This window comes from Homo sapiens, chromosome 5 (genome assembly GCF_000001405.40).
Source record: "Homo sapiens chromosome 5, GRCh38.p14 Primary Assembly".
Taxonomy (NCBI): domain Eukaryota; kingdom Metazoa; phylum Chordata; class Mammalia; order Primates; family Hominidae; genus Homo; species Homo sapiens.
In genome coordinates this window covers 143034701-143060174 of record NC_000005.10, presented here as the reverse complement: position 1 = coordinate 143060174, position 25474 = coordinate 143034701, and the positions used below count along the sequence as shown (strand labels likewise).

The 25474-nt window shown below is 39.9% G+C and overlaps 1 protein-coding gene and 1 long non-coding RNA gene across 41 annotated transcripts in view, besides 3 other annotated features; one reads left to right on the top strand and one right to left on the bottom strand.

Moving 5' to 3' along the window:
• ARHGAP26 (Rho GTPase activating protein 26) overlaps positions 1 to 25474 on the bottom strand; it is a 458635-nt gene that overhangs the window by 168837 nt on the left and 264324 nt on the right. For 35 of the 40 annotated variants that reach the window (NR_146198.2, XR_007058592.1, XR_007058593.1 and 32 more), the window contains 5 exons: positions 22914 to 22979; positions 18285 to 18359; positions 5649 to 5736; positions 4089 to 4147; positions 2428 to 2533 (listed from right to left, as the gene is read on the bottom strand). Coding sequence is in view for 37 of the 40 variants with exons in the window: in NM_015071.6 (NP_055886.1) it covers positions 2428 to 2533; positions 4089 to 4147; positions 5649 to 5736; positions 18285 to 18359; positions 22914 to 22979 (394 nt within the window). In the remaining 3 variants the exon portion in view is untranslated. Of the gene's footprint in view, positions 1 to 1820; positions 2354 to 2427; positions 2534 to 4088; positions 4148 to 5648; positions 5737 to 18284; positions 18360 to 22913; positions 22980 to 25474 lie in introns of those variants that run through there. The other 5 variants (XM_047416976.1, XM_047416981.1, XM_047416969.1 and 2 more) reach the window with 3 other exon arrangements.
• Positions 2426 to 6322, top strand: LOC124901097 (uncharacterized). The gene is made up of 2 exons (XR_007058979.1): positions 2426 to 3123; positions 6062 to 6322. It is a non-coding gene; the product is annotated as an uncharacterized LOC124901097 (long non-coding RNA).
• Positions 2684 to 2743: an enhancer, noted in NCBI's record as "active region_23326". NCBI's record gives its function as "activates an Ori minimal core promoter by ATAC-STARR-seq in GM12878 lymphoblastoid cells {active_cell/tissue: GM12878}" and the evidence as "EXISTENCE:reporter gene assay evidence [ECO:0000049][PMID:35858748]".
• Positions 5654 to 5703: an enhancer, noted in NCBI's record as "active region_23325". NCBI's record gives its function as "activates an Ori minimal core promoter by ATAC-STARR-seq in GM12878 lymphoblastoid cells {active_cell/tissue: GM12878}" and the evidence as "EXISTENCE:reporter gene assay evidence [ECO:0000049][PMID:35858748]".
• Positions 22502 to 23262: an enhancer, noted in NCBI's record as "OCT4-NANOG-H3K27ac hESC enhancer chr5:142416478-142417238 (GRCh37/hg19 assembly coordinates)". NCBI's record gives its function as "activates a minimal SCP1, AML or CMV promoter by ChIP-STARR-seq in naive and primed H9 embryonic stem cells {active_cell/tissue: H9 hESC(naive and primed)}" and the evidence as "EXISTENCE:reporter gene assay evidence [ECO:0000049][PMID:30033119]".

Genomic DNA, 25474 nt, shown 5'->3' with positions numbered 1-25474 from the left:
CAATAGCTCAGGCATAGCCTAGGGTAAGTCTAAACCTGAGAAAACTGGAATCAGACAAACCTCTTGTCCCAAGTTAACTTTCCCTTACTGCTTGATTTTAAAATAAGGACAGTGCTGTAAATGAGAATATAAAGTTTAAGTGGAATCTTAGAACTCCTCTGGATGCCAAAGAATTTTTTCAGACCTAAATAAATACTCTTTACTGGATTCAACACTGCTCATTCATATCCTTCTCCACAGGGACATTTTAAATATAGAGGCTCGAGAGACAAGAACACAGCACGCTAAGAATTTGAGTCCGCTATAGTCTAATACTAGCTCTAACCAACTCACATTACAGCATGAGAGCTTGTCTACAGGTAGATTTCTTGATAATTAAATGATCAAAACATGCCATAAAACCACAGAAAATCATTCTCAAGTTTCACAGATAAGACAATGATCAAGAAATGCTATGAAGTAAACAACTCCAAAAATAAAATTGCCTTAAATTGGTTAGAAGGCCAAAAAAACAAAAATGTGTCAAGGTCACAACTGTGATTTGCAAATTCCAGTTTACAACTCTTAGGTTAGTAACAAGGATGGACTGAATGTAATGGGACTGGAGGGGGAAAGGGTGGGAAAAGGAGGAGAAAGTGAGTCATCCAACCAGGAGATGAACAAGTTCAACTGTTCAAGATCTACCTTAAGGGTTTGGTTTTGTTTTTTAAATCCTTTTTTCTTCTTCTTTAAAGAATCCTAACAATCCTAAAGGAAATTTAAAAGTAGGAAAAACGCAACACTGGCTCTGCTGGGTCACCCTTCACTTTTGGTCTCTCTCAGTTCAGTTAAGCTCTCCTTCCAACTGCACAGCTTGAAAAGGCCCATGGCTTTCAGATGGTTCCTAACCCTTCTCCAGCTGCTCTCTGCAGGCCTGAAGGCCTCTTTCAGACCCGATGGCCATGAAGCAGTCATGAGCATCCCCACACATGCTAGGCTGGAGGGTGCACCTGGAACCTTCTATGTCTTGGTGTTTGTCCTTCAAGTGTGCAAAGTTTTGCAACTAAGATCTAAACCAGCTTCTCTGCTTAACAAACGCCTGACTCTAGGTTGTGTGGAACTGGTACTCAACTGTCATCTCAGAGCATCTGGAGTTACTTTTTAAAGCCCAGTTCCCATTATTTTAAACATGCTTCATCGGGATTCTTTGACACCTTTAGGGCATTCTCCTGTAAACTTGCATGTTATCTGCTATTCTTCCTAAGTACTCCTGAACAAGCAGCTCTGATATGGAAAGCCAAGAAAAAAAGTTGGTCAATAATGGAGCAACTGTGGCTTTGCCGAATTCCTTCCCAATAACACACAAGACACTCTTGGCTTCTTGATGGAAATGAGGAAATGGTGGAAATCTTCATGATATATATCACTCTTTTTCCCAAAGGCAATATCAAGTGCTTGACAGAAAGATGAAAACTAACCATTACAATCTCCCTCAGAAGAATATCAACTTATCCCCAAGAAATACCCTAATGGCATAGCAAAGTATGGACTATAAGGGCCAAATTTATAACACATCAGTTCAATAGAATGTAGGGTTTAATAATTTAGGTTAACTGTTATGCTCTCATTCTTTTCTTGTGCTCCAGTCTGCAATCAAGAACATACCATCAAAGTCAACGGAAGGTTAGAACACACACACAAGTAGTGATGAATGCAGCACGGGAAGTCAGCAATGCCATTTGTGAAAGGGTCAAGGAACAGTAAATACACAAATATTCAAAACCATTCCAAGAAAATCAGGTCCCTACTGAATGCTTTGATTATCTCAGAGGACAAGTGAGTATTTGCCAAAAATAATTCCTTTATTCTTTATACTTCTTCAAAGGCTTTAATGCATGTAACTTCAAAAATCAATGATCCTTGTAGAAAAAGGGGAGTCTATTATCCATATTAGACAGATGGGGAAACTAAGGAATAGAAAGTTCAGCAGTTTGTTCAGGGCTGGTTAAGCAGCAGGTTAATAACAGAGTCAGCTCTAGAATCCAGTCCTCTTTACTAAAAACCCAAATTCTGTAAACCCACAACATATTTTTGTTTGTTCTTGATGAGCATAAGAACATATAATCCCACAAAATTCTGTGTGGTGACCTGGTATCATGGACAACACACTCCAATTTGCCCTTGATCACCATAGGTAAAATCCCCCTGAAAACTCTGCTTGGTGGCCTGGTTGCATGAGCACTTCCCCAGCATCCTCTGGGAAGGCCATCTGGCATTTGCTGCTGTTCTCCACTGCAATGAACATTTCACACATTTCTTTCCTAAGCCTCCAGCATACCTGATGCAATAGTGGGAGAGAGAAACAAAAGCAGAACTGAGACCAGCTTCACTGCTAAGATAAGAACTTTCAGGGGTAAGAAAAAGGCTAGTAATTGGTCTTAAACCTACTTTGCCAAGTGGTTCATGAGCAGCTGTAACATCTGCCGATTTTTCTCTGGGAGCCGATGAACAAGGCTGTGGATTTCAGAGACCCGAGACTCCTGGTTCTCCAGTTCTGCAAAGGAAGGAGGGAGGTAATATCTTATCAGTGTCACAGCTAAACAACTTTAAGGTTGAAAAATTAAGGGAAACCAAAGGATGAGCACTAACAGCCCAAGGATTTCTCAAAGATTTACAATCCTGTCTTGTGTGCATACTGCGTGGCCAGCATGACTAGATCTGGAAGTCCTTTTAATGGTGCTTTCTGGAACAGGGTTGCCAAAAAAATTGTCATCAAAAAATCAAAGCCAAGATGATGATGTGATGAAATGGAGCCAGTCAACTGCACACCCAGAGCTGCTCCTGAGAACAAACTCAGGAGTAGCTGGCTCCCTAGAGGGAAGACTTCATTTCAAGGAAGTAAGGAACTTTATGCACTTGTAAAGTGATAAACAAATCTTACATGAACAACATTGCAAGGGTTTCAAATATCAAAATAACACCTTGAGACAGCATCAAAGATATCAAAGGAAATGTCCAGTATCCTCAAGTCACATATGACAACCAGCCTGCTAGAAAGAAAGAAATGGCAGATAAAATATTCAAGTCTTTCTGCCAACTTGTAACCTAAATCATGGCTTGTCACATTCTCTTGGTTGAACCAAGGTAAGTGGCTTTGTTACTCTGGCAAATAGACTGATGGTACTCATCACACCTATTTATAGAACTGATGTGAGGTTTAAGTAGAGAATGGTTGCTATGGGTTTGTAATTTCTCTAGAAAGAAATGACATAAACACCATCTTCGCTCCTGGCTTTCTCCTTCCTGTTTTAAGGGGACAACTATGAGTAGATAAGGACACCAGAACATTAGGTACTACTAAATTAGGCCAGTAGTAGCTACCAGAGTAAATAAATTCTAAAGGCTGAAAGGAACCCGGGAGAGACACAAGTTATCGACATAATAATACTGTGAAGATTCATGCTGGATTTAAATCTGATAGAGAATCTTTCTGCCCCTTTACAAGAGGCCTGACCCATGTAGCCAGAGATTCCAGTATACTTAGAGTAGCTTGCACCTAATCCCTATGTATTTTAATACCAGTAATATGACACCAGGACCTGGATGATGTAGTTGAAGAATGATCAGAAGCTGTAAATGGAAGACATAATGGAAAAGAGGACTGTGAAGTTATATAAATGGTGTCATATTCAGGGAAACATTTCCAATGCTCAATTTAGGTAATGTGCAATGTCTGATTCATTCTGCAAAATGCTACTCAAAGGCTGGAAAAAACCTAAGAAGTTAGAACTCCAATAATCAAAACTAGAAAGGCAAACTTGTTTTTCTCTATCCCTCCAACATCCTCCTCCCCTCAAAAAAAAAAAAAAAAAAAAAAAAGACTTCTGAAGTTTCTGTCCTCTGCTGTAAATTCAATGTGGTAGAAAGGCCCTTAGCAATCCCTATTTGTTTCCTTTTTATTCCGTGTTAGAATCTCATGAGTATGTTATGTGGCCAGTTTATGTGCAGAATACGAAGGGTTAGGTAATATTTATTTTGGGATACTGACTCTTCTTTGAAATAGAAAAATCTATTCTCTTCCCCTTAAAACTGAGACAAAAAAGACTTACTTGCTGCTTTGATGAAACTTCTTTGAAACTGGTACATCATGAGTGGTCCTGGAAGCATTCTGGAGGAAAAGGAGATAGGCTAGTCAGCTTAATAATAAGAATAATCATATTCTCTCTAAATAGCAGCCTAGAGACTGACAAACTGTAATACATTTCTCGAAGACAAAGATCACAGGGAAACAATAACAATGTAGTTTCCCTATTGCAAGCGTTCTGAGATTTCACCCAAAATGTTTATTCTCTCTCTTTCTTAAATGAATAGACACAACTATGTTTCATTGTCAACACTAAAATAGTGCTAATGCAAGAGTCTAACACAAACTAAGAGATTTCCTTTTCAGTCAGTGACTCATCTATCAACAACAGCATTTTAAGATGTGTCTGAGAAACAGGCAACTAACTACATATTTGCAAGTCTTGATCTTCCCAGCGGCTTGTTGTTAGAATCAATTCATCTAGAAACACTATAAAAGATTTTTGTAGGTGTTGTGGTGGTGAATTCACTATGGAGTATTGCTCCAGAATGCTAGAACCCCTAACATTAGGTATGATATAAACAAATTTTACCTGCTGGGGTATGAGTATGTTTAACCATAAACTTGAGGGTTTTTTCCTGATAGTTCAAATAAGAAACTTCTCAATAGGACTATACATTATTCTTGGCTCAGATTTTATTCTCATTGGGTCCCTTAATTCGACTCCTAGTTTTAGTTAACACTTACATTATATCTTACTCTTGACTCTAATTACCCAATAGCCAATAAAATCTACATCAGCAATTCCTTTTCTGTGGCCTCCTTCCTTTGCTTTCCAGCCAATTCCATCTTCAAAAAATCTGCACAGAGACTTATGCTATTTCTGATGACCATTCCCCTCTCCTTTTAAGACTAGGTCCCACCTTTTTTGGTAAGAACTATGGTATTCCTGTCCTTCAAGTCCAGCATAAATATTTTGGTCTATTCATGAAACTAAGATGCAGGCAGCTGGTCAATAACCCAACCTTTAATAATGAAAGGAGGCATAGAGAGGGTACAGTAGTATCATATATAAATGATACAAGGAAAATAGTCTCTGCAGAGAAATAATATTGTCCAGTGTAAGGGAAGGAGTCAAAAAGGAGTTCCATTAAGTTCTCATTTTTAAGAACCATTGTCAGCAATGTACTCTGTGTAAAGTATGAAACTATCAAAATACATGAGGTATGTAATCATGCATTCTTAACAGAAGATGATTCATGATTCCTTGTGTTCTTAACAGATTATTCAGGGACTTCGGGGAAGACCCCATTTTAGGTTCTGTTCATGGCTAATTATCACAATACTTCTCATATAGAACAAAGTTTCCTAAATCACTCAGGGTGTCACTGCACAAAGGCAACCCATCAACTATGGATGATTTACGATTGGTTTGACCAGCTGAGCTAAACGCACCCACACAGAAGCTGTTTCCACATCTCAAACACCCACCCGACAGCTCTCCGGAGTCTGAAAATAAAACTGCTTTCTTCCTGATTGCATGATAACTAGCTGGCACTCTGCCTTGCAAATGGAAAGTCCCTACCTTAGGTAGGTCTTCAGAGCACTAGTGATGGTCTTTATCTCCCATTCAGCACAGATATCTGTTTCTGTCTCAGAAGCAGTCTTGGGGTCTAAAATGAAGAAAAGACAATACATAAAGCACAGCATAAAATGGAACTAATAAATAAGCACACATAAAGGCATCCAATCTTGCTAGTAACTAGAGAAATGCAAAGTAAAACAAAAATGACAAGTATTTTTTTTACCTATTAAATTAGGAAAATGTCTAAAAATTCCAATATCTCTTGCTGGCAAGAATGCAGTGAAACTGATCCTCTCCTATCCTGCTGGCAGCAGGAGAGACAAATGCAAGAGTTTTGAGAAGCAATTTGGTAATATGTATCAAAGTCTTAAAAACGTTTATACCCTTTGAACCAGTAATCTCATTTCTCACAGTCTATCCTCAGAAAATAAGATAAGGCACGAGAAAAGTTACAGACCCCAGAAACGTTCAGCACACACTCTTCTTTGCAAAAGCAGAAAAAACAACAAAAAAAGGAGACAACCTAAATGTCCAACGATAGAAGAATGATTAAGTGAATTACCGTATGTCTACCTGATGGAATATTACCTCGCCGATTTATATGACAACGATGACTGTAAAGCAACATGGAAAATGCCTGCATTATATAATGTCAAATAAAAAAAAACAAGATATGTCTATGAGAAACTTTTTCTATGAACTTTTTATATGAACAAGGCTGAAAGGAAATACTCTAAATTAGTGGTTGGGTTAAAGTGGTGGACTGTGGTATGATTTTATTCCATTACTTTTGTATTTTTAAAAAAATTGCTTTAAGCTCAAATGTGCAATGAGAACCACCATATCAGCTCTGACAATTTCTTTTGTCTCTTCTTGCATGGACTTTTAAACAAATCAGTATATTTTAAACAAGCATGTATGATAAAAGAACAGGAGAGATAATTCTTATAATCTTCCTGAGTAGCACACAAGGAGGTGAGAAGAAGAGGCAGAGGTTGGGGAGTGTAATTGCTTCACAGATCCCCATCCTGTCCCTGGTGAGGCAGGCCAGGTCATACACATACTGGTGGGAGGGTCACAGAGTCTTTTTCAGTGCACAGGAGGGAGAATCCAGCTCCCTCATACTGGCTAAAGACTAGTTCTTTGCCACCAGCTCCCAGTCCTTTTTTTTTCTGCATAGCACCTCATTTTGAGTTGGAGAGCAACCCTTTTCTTACTTTTTCCAGGGGTGGAGAATGAGATTCAGGACAGACTGGCCAAAAGTATATCAACTCTCTGGACTCAGTGCCTGGATGAGGGATGGCCCAAGACCTAAGCCTGCCCAATCAGAGTAACTCTCCAGGACTCACGAACAGATATTTGCTGTTTGCTGGGCTTGCACTAGGAGGTTATGTAACTGCCAGGTGCCACCACACAGAGCCTGAAAGTCCGACAACCCAGAGACAAGATAAGCAGAAATGGTGGATCCTGAACCCTTGTATTTGCCTCTCCTTCTTATCATATGAGCCAGTAAATTCCTTTTTCCCCTTAAGCCAGGTGAGGTCAGGATTTCCGTCTTTTTACAATGCAAAGAGATCTAAATGATGCACCAGGTAAAGGGAGGCAGCCACCAGACTGCATCTTTCTGAAGAGTCTCCAAGAATAATTCTGGGACATCAATGAAGAAAGCTGTTCCTCCTGCAGGACCAACAGCCTTTCAGCTGGAAAAAAAATAAGTCAGAGGTGGGCAGAAGACATTTTCTATTTCCTGGGAAAGAAACCACTTTCATCCAAATAGAAAGAGGCCAAATACTCATGAATGGCTTCAGGATTTAGCCTATCATCACCAGGTAGGGGCACAAATCCAGCTGGTATCTACTGCTCTCCGTGTGTTCCCCTGACACATACTGGGTTATGAGAGAGGAAAGGGTCCCCAGCTCAGAAACATGTGGCTCTCAAAGGCACAGTACCTGTATGATGTTTGCAGGTGACACTGAGCAATAAAATGAAGTCTTTCCTGTCACATGAAACAAACAAGGAAAAACCTAAAGAGCATAATTTTTTTTTCTTTTTTTTTTTCAGACAGAGTCTCACTCTGTCACCAGGCTGGAGTGCAGTGGCGCAGTCTTGGCTCACTGCAACCTCCACCTCCTGGGTTCAAGCGATTCTCCTGCCTCAGCCTCCCAAGTAGCTGGGATTACAGGCATGTGCCACCATGCCCAGCTAATTTTTGTATTTTTAGTAGAAATGGGGTTTCACCATATTGGCCAGGCTGGTCTTGAACTCCTGACCTCGAGATCCGCCCGCCTCGGCCTCCTAAAGTGCTGGGATTACAGGCATGAGCCACCGCGCCTGGCCCAAGAGCATAATTTTATTTCTGGGGCTACAGAACAGTAAATTCCATAGAGTTCTATCACAGCAAATTTCTGAAAAGTTCACAAAATGTGATTTTCCCAGTATCCAAAATGTCTGCCACTTTAATTTGTGTCTTTGCCATCTTGCACTCCCTGAATGGCTTTTTCCTGCAGAAGAGTATGTATCAAAAACCTCTGCTTTGCATGACCTCTTTCCCTCCCCATCCTAAGACACGTGGAGAGCTGCCATCCTGCATGGTTCCTGGATGTGAGACAAATGTTACTGTACATTTTTCTAAAGAAGAAACCAACTTCTACCCAAGAAGAGTGAACATGAAACTGAACAAGCAGCAGTTGGCAAGTCTGGGAGTTGTGAACTGTTGCATGAACCACATTTAGCAAACTAATGATTAGCTTCCACTTATTCGGGCTCTGTAACCATAGGAATATTGCGTAACATTAGAGAGGAGAGTCAAATTACAGCCCGGCTAAAGGGCTTTTTATAGCACTGATGAGGCAAGGCTCATAACTTGAGCACATCCATTTTAATTCATTTAAAATCCAAGCTAAGTTGAATACAGCCTCCCAAGCTACACCATTTTCAGAAAGTGCTGCTGATTTCCACACCTCCCTCCTGATGCTCCCCTCACTTACAAAAGCTTCCTGATGGCATCTGAATATGCCACAGAGACGTCATTTACACTCTTCTTTAGAACTCAGTACACTTCTCTCCACCATGTCCCTTGACCACTGCTGCTTAGTAAAACAGATCTAAACTAGAGGAGCAATCCAATGTACAAAAGGCATCATGTGGGGAAAGCAGAATGAATGTTATTTCCTCCTGAACCTACTATCACATGAATTCAGAAAATCAGAAGACACAGACTGGAAGCAGTGGTTATAAGCGGAGAACGTCTTAGAAATGTCACACTTGGATCAGTCCCAAGGGCCATCTAGTCTATTACTGTGTTGCAGACAAAATGAAGGATATTTTGGAGGAAATTATTAGGAAAGTTACCTATGTACTCTTGAATTTCCTAATAACACATTATAGTGTATGCAAATTAATCTTTTTCTCTCTTTAAGTGAGAAAGTAATACACGCACATGTTAAGAATTCAAAGAAAAAAAAACAGATATACATGAAAAGGTAGAGGCAACTGCTAATGCCAGCTTTTTATGTGCATTTCCTATCTCTAACAGTCCCTTCTGTTTTGAGATCCAAAAGCTCTTACTGGCTCAAGACCCAGTCTTAGGAGAGCCTGCCTGAAGCATCCCAACAGGCAAAGGTGATGGTGGCTGGAGCAGAGGAGGTGAGCTTCCATCTCTGTGTTTCTTCTTTGGGGACTCAGGATTGTGATTAGTAGCCGTATTGCTAGCTCCCAGAATGATCAATCCTCTATCCAAGTAGTCTATCATCTTCTGGTCCTGTCATCTTTTGTCTGCTACCCTTCACTGGTAGACAAAATTGGACATTTGCTCTTCTCATGGTTCCCCTACTCCAGTAGGCTCCAGTCTTCAAAGTCTGGGCTGTTTCCACTTAATCCTATGTAAGCCTTTAGGTCTTAGAAATCATCATAAAGCATTTTGATTTCTTCAGAAAGAAGTCATTGATTGCTTTTATTTATGCCACTCTGTGAAAAGGTATGGGAAATAAGGGGCATAAAAAAAGAAATGCAGACATTCAAGGTCCCAGAGTAAGGAAGGATAGTTCATGGCTGGATCGGCGGTAAGTGGGTGAAGCATGCTACTATAATTCCGTGCTTTACAGCACTGCTGTATAATACCTTCATTGTGTTCTCTGTTTTACTAAGTTTGCTTTAAATGTGGTTTAAAAAAAAAAAAAGAAGAAGAAGAACAAAAAAGGTTACAGGACGAGAAAAACAGTGATGCTGAATTTGCAGTCCTTTATCATCATGGTAAAAACACACAAAAAAGGGACACAAATTTTTAACAGCACAGAAAATTAGGCTCTCAGTCAACATTCTCCTGCCACCAGGATATCCACTAGGCAAAGCTTAGATGAAGGCCTGAGGAAAATCCAGCTGGGGAAACAATGTGATAGGTGGTGGCCCTCTGCCCACCAACAACATAGCCCAAGCCACCCAGGGGTGTGGGGGAAAGGCCATGCTGCAACCCCCCAACCCCACTCCAGCAAACACACTTTTGGGGGCTACTTTCTGGGGCACCCAGAGCTGTCATAAGATTATAATCCAGGCAATGAAATCAGACTACAGAGCAGAAGTGGAGGGGGGTCCTCTTATATCAAGGCAAGTGAATCAGAAGGAGAGCCGTAGAAGAAACATGAGAGTCATAAGGGAAGAACCACAGCATGCTTCAGATTATCCAGGAGTAAATCCGGCTTCTCCCAGGACCATGACCAAATACCAAAACCAGGAAAAATCAATGCAGGCTTATAGGTTCACTAAATGAAAGCTTTAAGAATACCAGAAAGTTGGCTCAAATTATGTACAATACCCCTCCAATCATCAGGTAAGATAATGATTCTAACAGGAATCAGGAAAATAGCAGAACAAGGAGAATCTATCCACAGTGAGCTTAAAAGCAAAGGTTTGATTAAACAGAAGATAAAAAATCCTATAAAATATTTGTTGGCAAAAAATACAGAGACCAAAGCACTCTGAAAAATAATTCAGAAAACACCAGCTCTGTCATATAAGTAAAATCCTAAAAATATGGATGCCAGGAACCAAGACAACAAAATAAAACAAGTAGCAGACTGAAATAATAAAGATTATACCTGAAAAGTAGAAATAAAAGGATTTAAATAAGTAAAGATAATAAAGACATTGGAAAATCCATTACAAAAAGTTAAAATCTGCATTATAAACAGCAAAATAATAATCACAATCAACCCAACAATTTTAAATGAGTAATACTGAGATGGAGGACAAGTTTGAGAATTTTTGCTAGAATATAAAGAATCAGGAGAAAAATTAAGCATTAAAAAGGTGAAAAATGTTGGTGTGTTTAAAAGATTGAGAATTACAGAAAAACATACAGTAAAGAGATTTGTTTGTCTTTAGAAAAATATGTATAAAAACTCCTTCAGTGGCCCCCAATATGTATAAAAGAATGATTACATGGTGATATATAAAAGTAGTGGAAAGGGGTAAGATGACTCATTATATGGATACTGGTCAAGTGGATAAGTATTAGAGGAAAAAGAAGAGTTTCCACTTTGCATGACAGATTTTAAGGAAAATTAAGGTTTTTGTCATTCTAGATTGGGTAAGGTTTTTTTTTTTTTTTTTCTTTTTTGAGATGGAGTCTCATTCTGTTACCCAGGCTGGAGTGCAATGGCACGACTCAGCTCACTGCAACCTCCACCTCCCACGTTCAAGCGATTCTCCTGCCTCAGCCTCCTGAGTAGCTGGGACTACAGATGTGCACCACCACGCCTGGCTAATTTTTGTATTTTTAGTAGAGATGGGGTTTCACCATGTTGGCCAAGCTGGTCTCGAACTCCTGACCTTGTGATCCGCCCTCCTCGGCCTCCCAAAGTGCTGGGATTACAGGTGTGAGCCACTGCACCTGGCCTGGGGAAGGTCTTCTATGGCATAATTCGTTTAGAAAAAAGATAACAGACTGGACATCATAAAAATTTAAAATAGGCCAGTCATGGTGGCTCACACCTGTAATTCCAGCACTTTGGGAGGCCAAGGTGGGCAGATCTCTTGAGCTTAAGAGTTTGAGACCAGCCTGGGCAACATGATGAAACCCCGTCTCTACTAAAAATACAAAAATTAGCTGGGCATGGTGGTGCACACCTGTAGTCCCAACTACTCAGGTAGCTGAGGCACAAAAATCACTTGAACCTAGGAGGTGGAGGTTGCAGTGAGCCAATATAATGCCACTGCATTCCAGCGTGGGTGAAAGAGTGAGACCCCATCTCAATAAAATAGTCATAAGACAACAAAAACAAATGCACCATAAAGTTTAAGACAAATAATAATCTTACAAAACATATTGAAAATATAGTCTATAGATCTAAAAAGGTCTTGTAATCAAAAGAGGAACACACTGCCAGGTGCGGTGGCTCACGCCTTATAATCCCAGCACTTTGGGAGGCCAAGGTGGGTGGATCACTTGAGGTCAGGAGTCCAAGACTAGCCTGGCCAACATGGTGAAACCTTGACTCTACTAAAAAGATACAAAAGTTAGCCTGGTGTGGGGGCATGCACCTATAATCCCAGCTACTCAGGAGGCTGAAGCATGAGAATCACTGGAACCTGGGAGGTAGGAGGTTCCTACCTCACTGCAACACTTAGCCACTGCAGTGAGCCAACACTTAGCCACTGCACTCCAGCCTGGGCAACAGAGCGGAATAATAATAATAATAAAAATAAAACAAAAAAAATTTTTTTAAGAAAAAGAAGAACATACCAATAGAAAAATAGGCTAAGAATACAAATAGGCAATTCAACAAAAGTAGTATAAATCAGCAATAAATATGTAAACAGTCTAACCTCACCCAAAATTACAGAAATGCAAAATTAAATTTAAAAAGATACATTTAAAAATGTTAATAATTTATATGCAAAACAGTAATACACAGCATGGCAAAGATGTGGGGTGTAGCATAGTCTCCCTCAGACTTTGCTAACTACACACTTGGGAATATCATTTAAGAGCCTTGAAAACACGTACATACCTTGACCCAGCAATTCAACATCTTAAAATAAGTCCTGAGGAAATAATTAGAGATGCATATAAAAATTATAACAGCTAACATTTTATATTTAACATGTGAAGGCTCTGGACTCAGCAACCCACAAGCATCTTTTCATTCCATCCTCACATTACTATGGAGGCAGGAGCCATTATTACAGATGCAGAAATAGATGACTAGACCAGTGTGAATCATTTGTCTAAGTGAAAGAAATAAGCGGTGGAACTGTAACTTGTCTAATCTCAAAATGCATGCTCTTAGTCTCTGCTGCCTCAATGGGGATGTTTACCCTCTGTCCTGCCTCTATGGGGATATTTACCTGAGTGCTTTCTAGAATGATGAAGAATTGCAATTAGCCCATGTATCCAAGAACAGGGGACTGATTAAAAAGTTATAGAGCATCTGTGCAATATGTGCCTGAGAAAATCACACTCTAGAAGAACTTGAATGACATGTGACAATAGACACTCTATAGTGTTACATGAATAAAACCTGTAATATCTGCACAGTGAGTTCAATTTTGTAAACATACTGTTTTAGTATACTATACTATACTAAATTTAACAGGTAATAATATAACATTTTGATGTCATATGACAAAACAGTTAATAAAGGTTAACTCTAGTATATAGAACTGTTATTTTCTTCTACTTTTTGTATTCCTCCAAATTTTCACAATGACCACTCATAACTTTTCATCAGGAAAAAATTTATTTAAAATATGTACGGAGAGACAGGAAGAGAGATAGACATACACTGAACAAGTATATAGCTGATTTACATATTAAATAGTATAGATAAAAAAGTTGGGCTAAAATTTGGAAAGATTTATCTTTACTTAATATTCAGGGGGGAAAACCCCCAGACACACAGAAGGCATTCTATTTCTAGGAATCTGCAAGTCTTTGAGAGTCCTTTTCACTCTCTAAAGACTAATGACTTCTGTTGCTAGGAGGAAGGGATCAAGGGTAGCTCTTGGTAGGACACTAGTACAAAGCCACACTGCACTTGCTATGAGGAATTTTAGCAAGCTTTCTTAAGGAATCCTGATCAGTACAAAGAAGACATTCTCAAAGCACTGGCTCTCATATTCCTCTTCCAACCCAAAGTCCTCCAATGTATTAAGAGTACAAAAAAATAAACTCGAAGTAATTCAAAAAAAGTCTCTGGTTTTGCTTAATTCTCAGCCTTTTTTTTTGAGACTGAGTCTTGCTCTGTCATTCAGGCTGGAGTTCAGTGGTGTGATCTTGGCTCACTGCAACCTCCGCTTCCTGGGTTCAAGGGATTCTCCTGCCTCAGCCTCCTGAGTAGCAGGGCTATAGGTGCACACCACCACACCCGGCTAATTTTTGTATTTTTTATTTTTGGGGATGGAGTTTCGTTCTTGTTGCCCAGGCTGGAGTGCAATGACGCAGTCCTGGCTCACTGCAACCTCCGCCTCCCGGGTTCAAGCAGTTCTCCTGCCTCAGCCTCCCAAGTAGCTGGGATTACAGGTGTGCACCACCACACCTGACTAATTTTTTTGTATTTTTAGTAGAGAAAGGGTTTCACTATTTGGCGAGGCTGGTCTCGAACTCCTGACTTCAGGTGATCGCTCACCTTGACCTCCCAAAGTGCTGGGATTACAGGTGTGAGCCACCACACCCAGCCTAATTTTTGTATTTTCAGTAGAGATGGGGTTTCACCATGTTGGCCTGGCTGCTCTCGACCTCCTGACCTCAGGTGATCCACCTGCCTCGGCCTCCCAAAGGGCTGGGATTATAGGCATGAGCCACCGCACCTGACCAGCCATATTTTCCATAACCAAAACATACTACTCCACTTTTGAGAGCCTTGGACAGATAAACCAAATCTTACACAGTACCTGGCACATAATAAGCATCCAATGAATGTATAATAAAGAAATAGTTAATGAAAGGTTCACTCGGCCCAGCCATCTCAGGGGAAGGTTTTGGAGCACAGGTGCCATGTTTATTTTATACTCTTGGCTAGCCCAGACACTACCAGTACCAAGAATTGATGAAGTTGTGGGCATGTTCACAAAAGAGAAGATGAAGCTCCCCCTTCAAAGGGGTCTAGAGCCCTGGTGATTCCGTAATTGAGAGATTCAAACTTATTTAACTCGTAGGGAGAATCATGGATATCATTCTCAACTTTCAATTAGATGTTACACTGTGGTCATCTTGCAGCTCTGGTTGGATCTCAGATTAGATTCCAGTCTGTCTGTAATGTCCTCCTGGCAGAGGCAGCTGCCCTCGTGACTTTCAGCTGCTAGTTATTACTTTTTCATGACATTTCTCAAATGTTCATGATTATTTTCTCTATCCCCAGGAAAATCAAGGAAGAGAACAAGACAAATATCTTGTGTGAAGGCCACTAAGAAAAGTGATAAAAACAAGATCCTTTCATAACCACTCTTTTGCTTAACACAACTGAGCTAAAGTGCTTCTTTTTTAGATTAGCAAACCAGTCTAAAATGTCATATTTCTTTTCATTAGTGTCATCTTACATAATAATCTGTCATCTTTGAAATCTCTCTGCCCCTTCTGTTCCCCCATATCAAGTTGGTTAAAAGTCCTGTTGATTCTCTCTGTATACTCACTATGAGTGTGTCCTTTTTTCCTGACTTCAGAGCACCTATTTAGTTCAGTCTTTGATAGGGTTTGCCTTGCCTGATCTATTACAACCAACTTCCTCCTCCATGTCTTTCCATAATCAAACACATGCTCCAAATTGGAGCCAACAATATGCTCCTAATGCTAGAATCTGATATTGTTACATCTGTATTAGATATACTTTTTTAAAAAAGCTAACAGCAGCCATTATTTCAGGAAAGCACTTCTCCATCTTCCTATCAATAATCCTGCTCAGTCCACTGGGTTTCAGGGACTAACCCCGTCCCCACCCCAACTGTCCACCCCATCCCCCACATCCCCCAACATACGCACAGGATCCAGGCCATCTGCCATGGGCCATGTGACTGGTCTGAGATTGAGAAACGAATCATGTGAATGGCCCCATACTGACCAAGCAAAGTCCTCGCTGGAGCCTTCTGCCAACATGGTCAAGAAAGGCACTTTCTTCTCAGTGACCACAGGCTCCAAGGACTGCAGAGGCTGAACCTGTCTGGGACACTCCCACAGAGAACAAAGCCACACCAAGCCCAGAAGAGGTCAGAGAACATGAGAAGCCAGAAGAAGGAAGGGGCAAAGGATCTAGCAAAAGTAAAGACATCATTGGCATCCCTGACTCTGCCATGCTTCTGTCTTGGATTTACCAGTTATATGAGCAAATAGATGCTTTTTTTTTCCTTGTAAACTATTCTGAATTGTCTTCTTGACACTTTTGTGTGCAAAAGCATTATAATGGATATAATCCCACTATTGAGAACTTTTAATAGTTTCTTACTTCCTATAGAAAAAACCCCAAACACCTTGGCTCAGTATTCAAGTTCCTCAACAAAAAAGACCACCTTAGCTATTCAGCTTTAAAACTCTCCTGTCCCAGCCTCAAGTTAAGTCTTTCAGAAATATTAAAATAATAATCATAGAATCAATACCCTTTGCTGTAGCCACCATAGACCCTTTGTTCAGAATACTTCATGAATTGGAATTATTCTTCTACTCTCTCCTTCACTACACTACTCAATCTTCTAGACCCAGCACAGATTAAGCATGAATATCATACTTTACATTACAGCTTTCATATACACACATATTTCACCCTATCAGGACTCCTTACAGAAAAGGAACAGCTCTTTCTAAAATTTAATCTCTAGCACCTGACATCTGTTCTAAGCAGCAGACACCCCACAAATGTTTGCAGCTCTGGTCAGAAATGAAAAACTAAGGATTGACACCTATTAGACTCTTAATTCTTCCTTATATTAGAAATTCTCAAAAATTGACCCTATCGCCATACAACCCAGCAATTTGCACACTCGGACATTTATCCCAGAGGAACAAATATATGCTCACACAGAAACTATATATGAAAATTTATAGAAGCTTTATCATAATTGCCCCAAACTGGAAACAACTCAGGTGCCCTTCAATAAATGAATGGTTCGACAAAGTGCAGTACATCCATACAATGGAATATTACTCAGCAATAAAAAAGAACTATTAATACATGGAACAGCAAAAATAAATCTTGAGAAAATTACACTGATTGAAAAACAATGCCAATCCCAAAAGGTTCTGTATTGTATAATTCCATTTAAATAATAATCTTGAAATGACAAAATTATAGAAATAGAGAACAGATTGCTGATCGCCAGGGGTTAGGCACAGGGTGCAAGGTGGGAAGTGAGGTATGTGCTTGTACAACATCACAAGGAATCCTTTTAGTGATGGAAGTGTTCTGCATCTTGACTAAATTAATGCCAATATTTTGGTTGTGATATTAAAATTGTGTTTTGCAAGATGTTACCTTTAGAGGAGACTGAGTAAGTGGTACACAGGATCTCTATATTATTTCTTACAACCGAATGTAAATCTACAATTATCTCAAAATGAAAAGTTTAATTTTTACAAAAACTAACCATATTTCAAATCTTAACCAAAAAAAACCCAGATACTCGTTGCTAGAGTACCTCGCAAATAATCATAGTTTTAAACAACAGATCTCACTCTAACTAGCAATACAATAGGGTTTTGGCTACAAGAAGTGAATGACTCTCTCAAAAAGAGGTGAAGACAGTCATTCTGGCCAACATGAGAGAAGAGATTTCTTTACACAAGAAAGCTATTTTCAGAAAGTGGGATGGCAAAAGAAATTACAAATACTAACACAAGAACTGTCCCTGTCCAAAACACTGAGCTGCGTACCCCAAGTGATAGTCCCTCTCTACAAGCCAGGGCTTCCATGGGGAGGAATAACAGCCTCTGTGAAACCTGATCTGTTTGCCATTTAGGTCCATGTGATTCATGGAGGCTGGCTGCACTCATATCTAAAAATACAGGAAATCTGCAGCCTAAGCAAATTTGGCTCATGGACTCATGGGCTTTTGATTCAAATACTGCACATTTGGAGACACTGCTTTGTATTTATATCAGCCAGTGGCAAAGGAGGTTCTGCTGCTCAAGTGACAGGTATTCGGTTGAAATCTAGAAGCAAAGAGGATCAGAAGATTTCTCTGGTTATATATATTTTATCTGAGAGTTACATGACACCTGCTCAGTATCAGGAACATGAACTCTGAGGTCCTCTGGAGCCCAGAATGATGCCTTTCCTTGGGCATTGGGTGTGTCCCACTAAATACCTGTCCCAAAAGAGAACGGAGGGAGTCATAAGCTATTAAAGACAGAGTAGGGTGTGGTGGTCACATGAGTGACTGAGTGCCACTTGGACCAGAGCACTGAGCCTACAGACAGAGAGGGTGTGGTGTCTGGGCCCTGGCATTTTTTATTTTGTCCAGTCCTACTCAGAACCTTTCCCAGCAGTGTCTGAAGCCATGACAACTGACCGATGGGGCAGATGACTTCTAGGTGACAGCTCACGGACACCCCGATTCCTTTGCCACAGGCTGTATCTACTCACAGACCTGGTGACTTTTCAGAGTGGGCCCCCCATCCAGGGACCTGCCTAGCAGAGCCACTGCGGCACTCACCCATCAGGACACTCAGCAACTTCTGCACTCTGGAGTTGACACCCACAATTCGATACAGCCCTTGCTCGTTGATCCCTGAGGAAAGAAACAGTGATGATTTAATTAGAGGCACGTCAGAACACAAGTCAGGCCAATCCAGCCAAATGCACTTTTTTTTTTTTTTTTTTTCATTTTCTCAGTCCTCCTAAAAGCTGCTCTAATTAAAGTCCCCTGTCACTCAGCTCAGCTCTTAGCAAACGAGTGGGATTTGGTACAGCTGTCTAGGATTTCACGGATGTGCTGCACACTTCAGCCCTCATGTTAGTTCAGTCATCAGCGGCGAAAGAAGCTTTCCTTTCTCTTGCCAAAGGCAGCATCTGAAGAGTTCTAAAAGATGCAAAATGTACACTTTTAAATATGTCATATTTAACCAATTTTTAAAATTAAAATGCCAAAAATGACATTAAAAATTCATACAACAGAAAAAGACACTTTATAATCTATTTTTACACAAAAAATGAAAATACGGAGGTGTAAGAATGTTTTTAATTTTAAGGAATGTTAGCCAAGACTGAGAAATTAGAAGATCCATTCATTTATAATACAAATATTCTTTATCAAAAAAGACCACCTTTATTTCAACCCAAGGAACTGTACAATTAGACTAGTAAGGGTTTACTTTTAAATTAAACATCTAAACAAAAAATCAAAAACTAATCCACTGCAGTGTTTCTGTTCATTTAAATACATGGATTAGATCACCACTGTACCATTTACAAAAGAAGGCAATTTAGACCAGGTGACTTGAAATGATTTTTCTCCTATTAGTTCCAGGCCCATCATATCTGACCCCTCTCAAGTAATAGAGCTCCAGCTTCCTATTTTATTCCTCTGATGTCCATTCTTCAACCAGTAGCCAAAGTGAACTGTCTAAAGTGCAAATTAGTTCATATCACCTCTTCTCTTAAAACCCTCCAATAGCTTCCCATTGCACTTAGACCATAATCAAAACTACTTACAATGGCCTATAAGGCCTATACTATCGAGCACTGACTACCTCTGATTGCATCATTGACCACATGCATTCTGCTCCACACACTGGCCTTCCTGTCACCTCAACATGCCAAGCTCATGGCCCCACCTCATAGCCTTTGCTCCAGCTGTTTCCTCTACCTGGACTGCTCTTCTCCCAGAGCTTTTCATCATTCAGATCTCAGCTTAAATGCAACCGCTTCAATCTAATGCAATCCACAATCAACATTACTGGTCATTCCCTTACCCTGTTTTCTTTCTTTATAGCAGTTAACAATATCTGAAATTATGTTTGTTATTTGATTATTTACTTGTTTTTTCTGTTACATTCTCAATAGAATGTAAACAGTAATTGTGTCCTGTTCACCATTACATCCTCAGTCCCTGGATCAGTATATGGTACATGATAATAAACAAAACACGAGATTATACTCCATCAAGGCCAGTATAAAATACTTGGGGGCCAAAACACAATCTTCCAAAAGAAACTCAGGAAAGGACCAATTCTGCAGTACTTTCAACAAGACCTATGTAGACATGGAACTAATGAATAAAAAGAAGTGGTCTGGAATGATAGAATTTTACAGCTAAAAAGGACCTGTAAAATCATGTACATCATTCTGCATGATTCACGGACTAGGAGTCCCTGGTCAAAAACTTCAAAAACTAAGTGATGGGTCCCAAGTTACTCAGTGGCAGAAACTTGATTCAGTAACATGTCAGCTTGTGGGCTTGAAAAGTCTTAAGTGTCTCTACTTCTTCTATCCTTGTGCTTTCCCGGGACTTTACACAATCCCACCTCCCACTGGACAATTGTCAAATCCCAGAGAGTATGGGAAGTCTGTTCATCTCTGATCACCATAAATACGTATGCACATACACACACTGCAATCGGGAGATACCCACTTTTTTCAACTATTTACGCTAAAATGGCACCTAACTCATACTGTCCTTATTTCTTCTTTGTGCTCAATGAAGACTTTCGTAGAAGTTAAAATACATCATTTCCATTTTCATTTTAGAGGGGGAAGAGGAACTTGTACACCTCTTCTTCTCCTACTTATTGTATTTATTTTGTAGTTTTACATCAGAAAAAGTTGTCCTCCTGAGCTACCAGTTTGCATTTACTACAGACTCTGTGAACAGTTTTAAATGATTAGGTTTCTCTCTTGATTTTGGCTGCTGAAGACTGAGAGACGAATAGGTGGCCCAGCTCAAGCAAGTATATGAACTTTACTGGGGAAAGAGATTTTTTTTTTTTAGACTCGCTTTTGGCTCCATTTTTGTGCCTCTACCTTTAAACTCTGTACATTTTATTCTCGGTCTTTTCTTTTAAATTTAAAAAAAAAAATTAAAACTCCTGTTGAAAGTTAGACCGTGCACAGTGGCTCATGCCTGTAATCCCAGCACTTTGGGGAGGCCAAGGTGGGCAGATCACTTGAGGTCAGGAGTTGAAGACCAGCCTGGCCAATGTGGTAAAACCATCTCTACTAAAAGTACAAAAATTAGCTGGGCATGGTGGCAGGCGCCTGTAATGCCAGTTACTCAGGAGGCTGAGGTAGGAGAATCGCTTGAACCTGTGAGGCCAAGGTTGCAGTGAGTAGAGATTGAGCCACTGCACTCCAGCCTAAGCAACAGAGCAAGACTCTGTCCCCTCCAAAGAAAAAGAAAAAAGAAAAATTACCTTAGTAATGAACACTTCAAAAAAACTTAGAAACTACAGTTAAGGTAAATAGATGAGTCAAAGGGAAACAGTAAAAATCAGCAGACAGCCACTGAGAACACAATGAAACCTGTGCAATATGACCACTCCTCTCCCCACTGCTCCCAGAACGGGCTCATACTGAGCAGCTGCTTTGTAACTTGCATTTTTCACGTATTATAAATAATTTTTAAAATGCCATATGTCTGTAATCCCAGCACTTTGGGAGACCGAGGTGGGTGGATCACAAGATCAGGAGATCGAGACCATCCTGGCCAACATGGTGAAACCCCATCTCTATTAAAAATACAAAAATTAGCTGGACGTGGTGGTGTGTGCCCGTAATCCCAGCTACTCAGGAGGCTGAGGCAGAAGAATCCCTTGAACCAGGGAGTTGGAGTTTGCAGTGAACCGAGACTGCATTACTGCACTCCAGCCTGGGGACAGAAAGAGACTCTGTCTCAAAAAAAAAAAAAAAAAAAAAAAAAAAAAAGGCCGTATGTCAAAAAATGTATTTCCATTGCATTGTCAGTGATTCACAGTTTTTTACTACACAGATGTACCACTGTTGATTTAACCCATTTTTGAGACATTTGGCCCGTTTCTGATTTTGTACCTTAACATCACCACGGTGTAAACATCCTTATGGCTCAATCTGGCCCATATCCTTATTTCCTCAAGACCAATTCCCAGAAATGTCACCTACTTCTACTTTATATTCTCTGGATATATCTTACATACCTTTACAAGATGCCTTAATTCTTTATTTAAGAGAGGTACAGGGGAAATAACTGAACATTTTAAAAAATGTTTCCATACATTACAACTGTTTTGGAAAAAATATCTTTTGACAGTATACATAAGGGTAGGTTTTTAAATTCTCTCTCTTCCCTCTACTTAATGCCTCACAGTCCTTATGGAAAAAAAAGTGTATATTTCTCAACTGGCAAGTTATGAATCCTGCTTTAAAAGAGAGAATTTCTTTCCACTACTTAAAAAGGGCTGGTAGGCTGAGAGGCTGTGAGTAAATAAGATTCACATCTCTGACAACGGTTCAAATCAAATCCAGTGGAAAGATGGTTAATAGCTTTTCTCAGCGGTACAACAGACCAGCAAACTCAAAGCTTCAAACTGCTGGGACTGAGGAATCTCCTTTGTGGCTGTCTCTGAAGAAGGGATGGAGACCATCAGGATGAACCAGCCTCCTTGATCTTAATGTCCTGCTCCCACAGACCTGGGAAAGATCAGTGTGAACATGGGCCTGACCCCTTTTCTCTACCTGGGTGGTCCCCAGGGACTAGCTCCCCAGAGCATCTTGGGTTCACAGACCCCAAGATGTCTGCCAGAGAAAATTTAGGGTGTCTGTGAACTTAGACAGGAAAACAATTACATCTTTATCTTCACTAACCTATAACTGACATTAAGCATTTCCTTCCTTTATGGATGTAAGCAACAAATTACAGGAGCATTAGCGGTACCTGCAACTTGGTCAGAAATCACAGATATTTTCATAACACATTACAATTATTATGGATATCTTGAAATATCACTGCTCCCAAATTATGTCAGTTATCAGACCCACCACTATCACTTATAAAGTGTTAACAAAGAAACACATATATCATGATACCCTGTGTTTTTTAATATTTTAAAAATCGAATTTCAGTAACTGGTTTCTATAATCATACGTATTTTAGATATTTAACACATTCTTCTGATCAGCCAAAGAAGTTGGTGACACAAAATCAGTTAGGACCTCCTGCTTGAGACCAACAAGACTTGTGGAAATCCACTGACAATGGCACTTGGGGAGCTAATGAGTCACTTAAAGTCAGGAAACAGCAGGTAGCAGGTCTGACTCCTCACCAGATGCGTGACCTTCTATGAGAACAATGCCATCTGTTAAACTACTTTACCTCTGGTTTCCACAGCATGGATGCATTTCCTGATTATGCTGAAGCCAATGCTGTCCAACTGCGCAGCTGAAAGAGCAAGAGAAGGACAGTCAAGTTGCTAGCCATGGAAATCAACCTCAGGATAGGGCTTAACCAAACCAGGATGAATCAATCGCATGCTGTGGTCACATATCCTTTTAGTTTTTCCCAATAACAGTACAGGAATAACATAATAATAATAATAATAGCTGGCATTGATTGAGAGCTTTCCATATGCTAGGTATGGTTTTAAGTGCTTTGCATGTAGTATCTCATTTAGTTCTCATAGTAACCTCAAGCTGTAGTAACCTGTAAAATTATCTTCAATTTACAGGTGAAGAAACTGCAGCATAAGGTGACAGGTACCTTTACATTGCTCTGCTATTAACAGAAGCTGTAGAACTAATTGCGGTCTCCTTCAAAAAGCACAAATTAAGTGGTCTATAAATGTTGGGTAAGTGCTTAAAATAGATTTTCTCACTTGATCTCAGTAAGTCCTCCAGGTTGACATTATCACTAGCCCATATTACAGATGAAGAAACTGAGGCTTGGTAAAACTAAGTATCTTGACCAAAGATGCAGAGCCAATACATGGAGACTTGCTCTAGAGCCCATACCATCAAACTGCCTTAAACGTGTCCCTGAGTTAAGTATAATCCTGCTCAGGTGACTAGAAGAAAGGAAAAATAGAACAAAGAATAAAAGAAGAAAAATGATTCAGAGGAAAATTAAAAGAGCCAAGAACAAAGACACTACCAAAGGAAGCAGCATGAAGGCAGTGGGGCCATCCTCTAGGGGGAAATGAGCAAGTGGTGACAGGATTCTCACCCAGAAAATAAATGATCAACAGCAGCAACTTCTTCCACAGCAGAGAACCACACAAGGCTGGAAACTTCTAACCTGACAACAAGGCTGGAAATTCCCTAAAATTCACCCCCATGTTTTGGTTACCCGGTGATAATCTTTAAGAATGGGTTCATCTTTGACCTTCTTAGGACAGTGGACAAGGCATTCTACCACTTAATGGTCAGAGTGGAAAAGAAAATGGCAGAAAGTAGAAAAGCAAGTATTTATAGATGATTTGCGGTCATCTCAGGGAAAGTAATAAACTTGTAATATTTGAGAAGTGAGCAGAACCTGAACTCACCTTGGATCTAATCCAAACTGAATCTTTCTTTAATTCTTAGCGTATATGGGTAAACTTAGATAAAATGAACATTTTATTTTTTTATTTCCATAGGTTATTGGAGAACAGGTGGTGTTTGGTTACATGGGTAAGTTCTTCTTTTTTTTTTTTTTTTTTTTTTTGAGACAAGGTCTTACTCTGTCGCTCAAGCTGGAGTGCAGTGGCATGATCTTGGCTCACTGCAACCTTCGCCTCCTGGGTTCAAGCGAGTCTCCTGCCTCAGCTTCTCTAGTAGCTGGGATTACAGGCACCCACCACCACATCTGGCTAAGTTTTGTATTTTTAGTAGAGACAGAGTTTCACCATGTTGGCCAGGCTGGTCTTCAACTCCTGACCTCAGGTGATCTACCCGCCTCGGCCTCCCAAAATGCTGGGATTACAGGCGTGAGCCACCGCACCTGGCCTACATGGATAAGTTCCTTAGTGGTGACTTGTGAGATTTTCATGCACCTATCACCCAAGCAGTATACACAGCACCCTATTTGTAGGCTTTTATCCCTCACCCCCTTCCCATCCTTTCCCCCACGTCCCCAAAGTCCATTGTGTCATTCTTGTGCCTTCGCATCCTCATAGCTTAGCTCCCACTTATGAGTGAGAACATACAATGTTTGGTTTTCCATTCCTGAGTTACTTCACTTAGAATAATAGTCTCCAGTCTCATCCAGGTAGCAGCAAATGCCATTAATCATTCCTTTTTATAGCTCAGTAGTAATCCATCATATATATACACCAAAGTTTCTTTATCCACTTGTTGACTGATAGGCATTTGGGCTGGTTCCACGTTTCTGCAATTGTGAATTGTGCTGAAGATTTTAAAACATTTTTTAATCACCAAGAATTCCCAAAATCAAACTAAAAAGGAATGCTAATTCCTAAAACAACTCTTCCCAAACTGAAATATTAATAGTTCCTATACTTACATACATACTTATTGCTTAGTGATGCTTATTACAAACACACTCAGCCTCTAGGATAGTAAGTAAAGTACCAGAAAAGAAACAGAAAAACAATGTTTTTCTCCCTGGAGATTACTTGCTATACAAACCATTCTTTTTATTCCCTTAAAATGGTAAGGAGCCTATTAACCCAATCCCTTGTTTTTCCCAGTATAAATAAAGTATTTGCTCTGCAAATTATGGCATCTCAAGATTCTGATTACAGGCTGAAAGCCCAATTAAAATAATTCTTCCAAATAAAACTCAACTCATGCGGCAGGCATTTTTCAAATTTAATAACAACCTATAATACAGAGGCCAAATACCTGTTGGAATCCAGGGGAGGAATTTTTTTTTTTTAAATAACAGCTTTCTTGGTATATACTTCATATACCATAAGTTTACCCATTTTAACTATACAA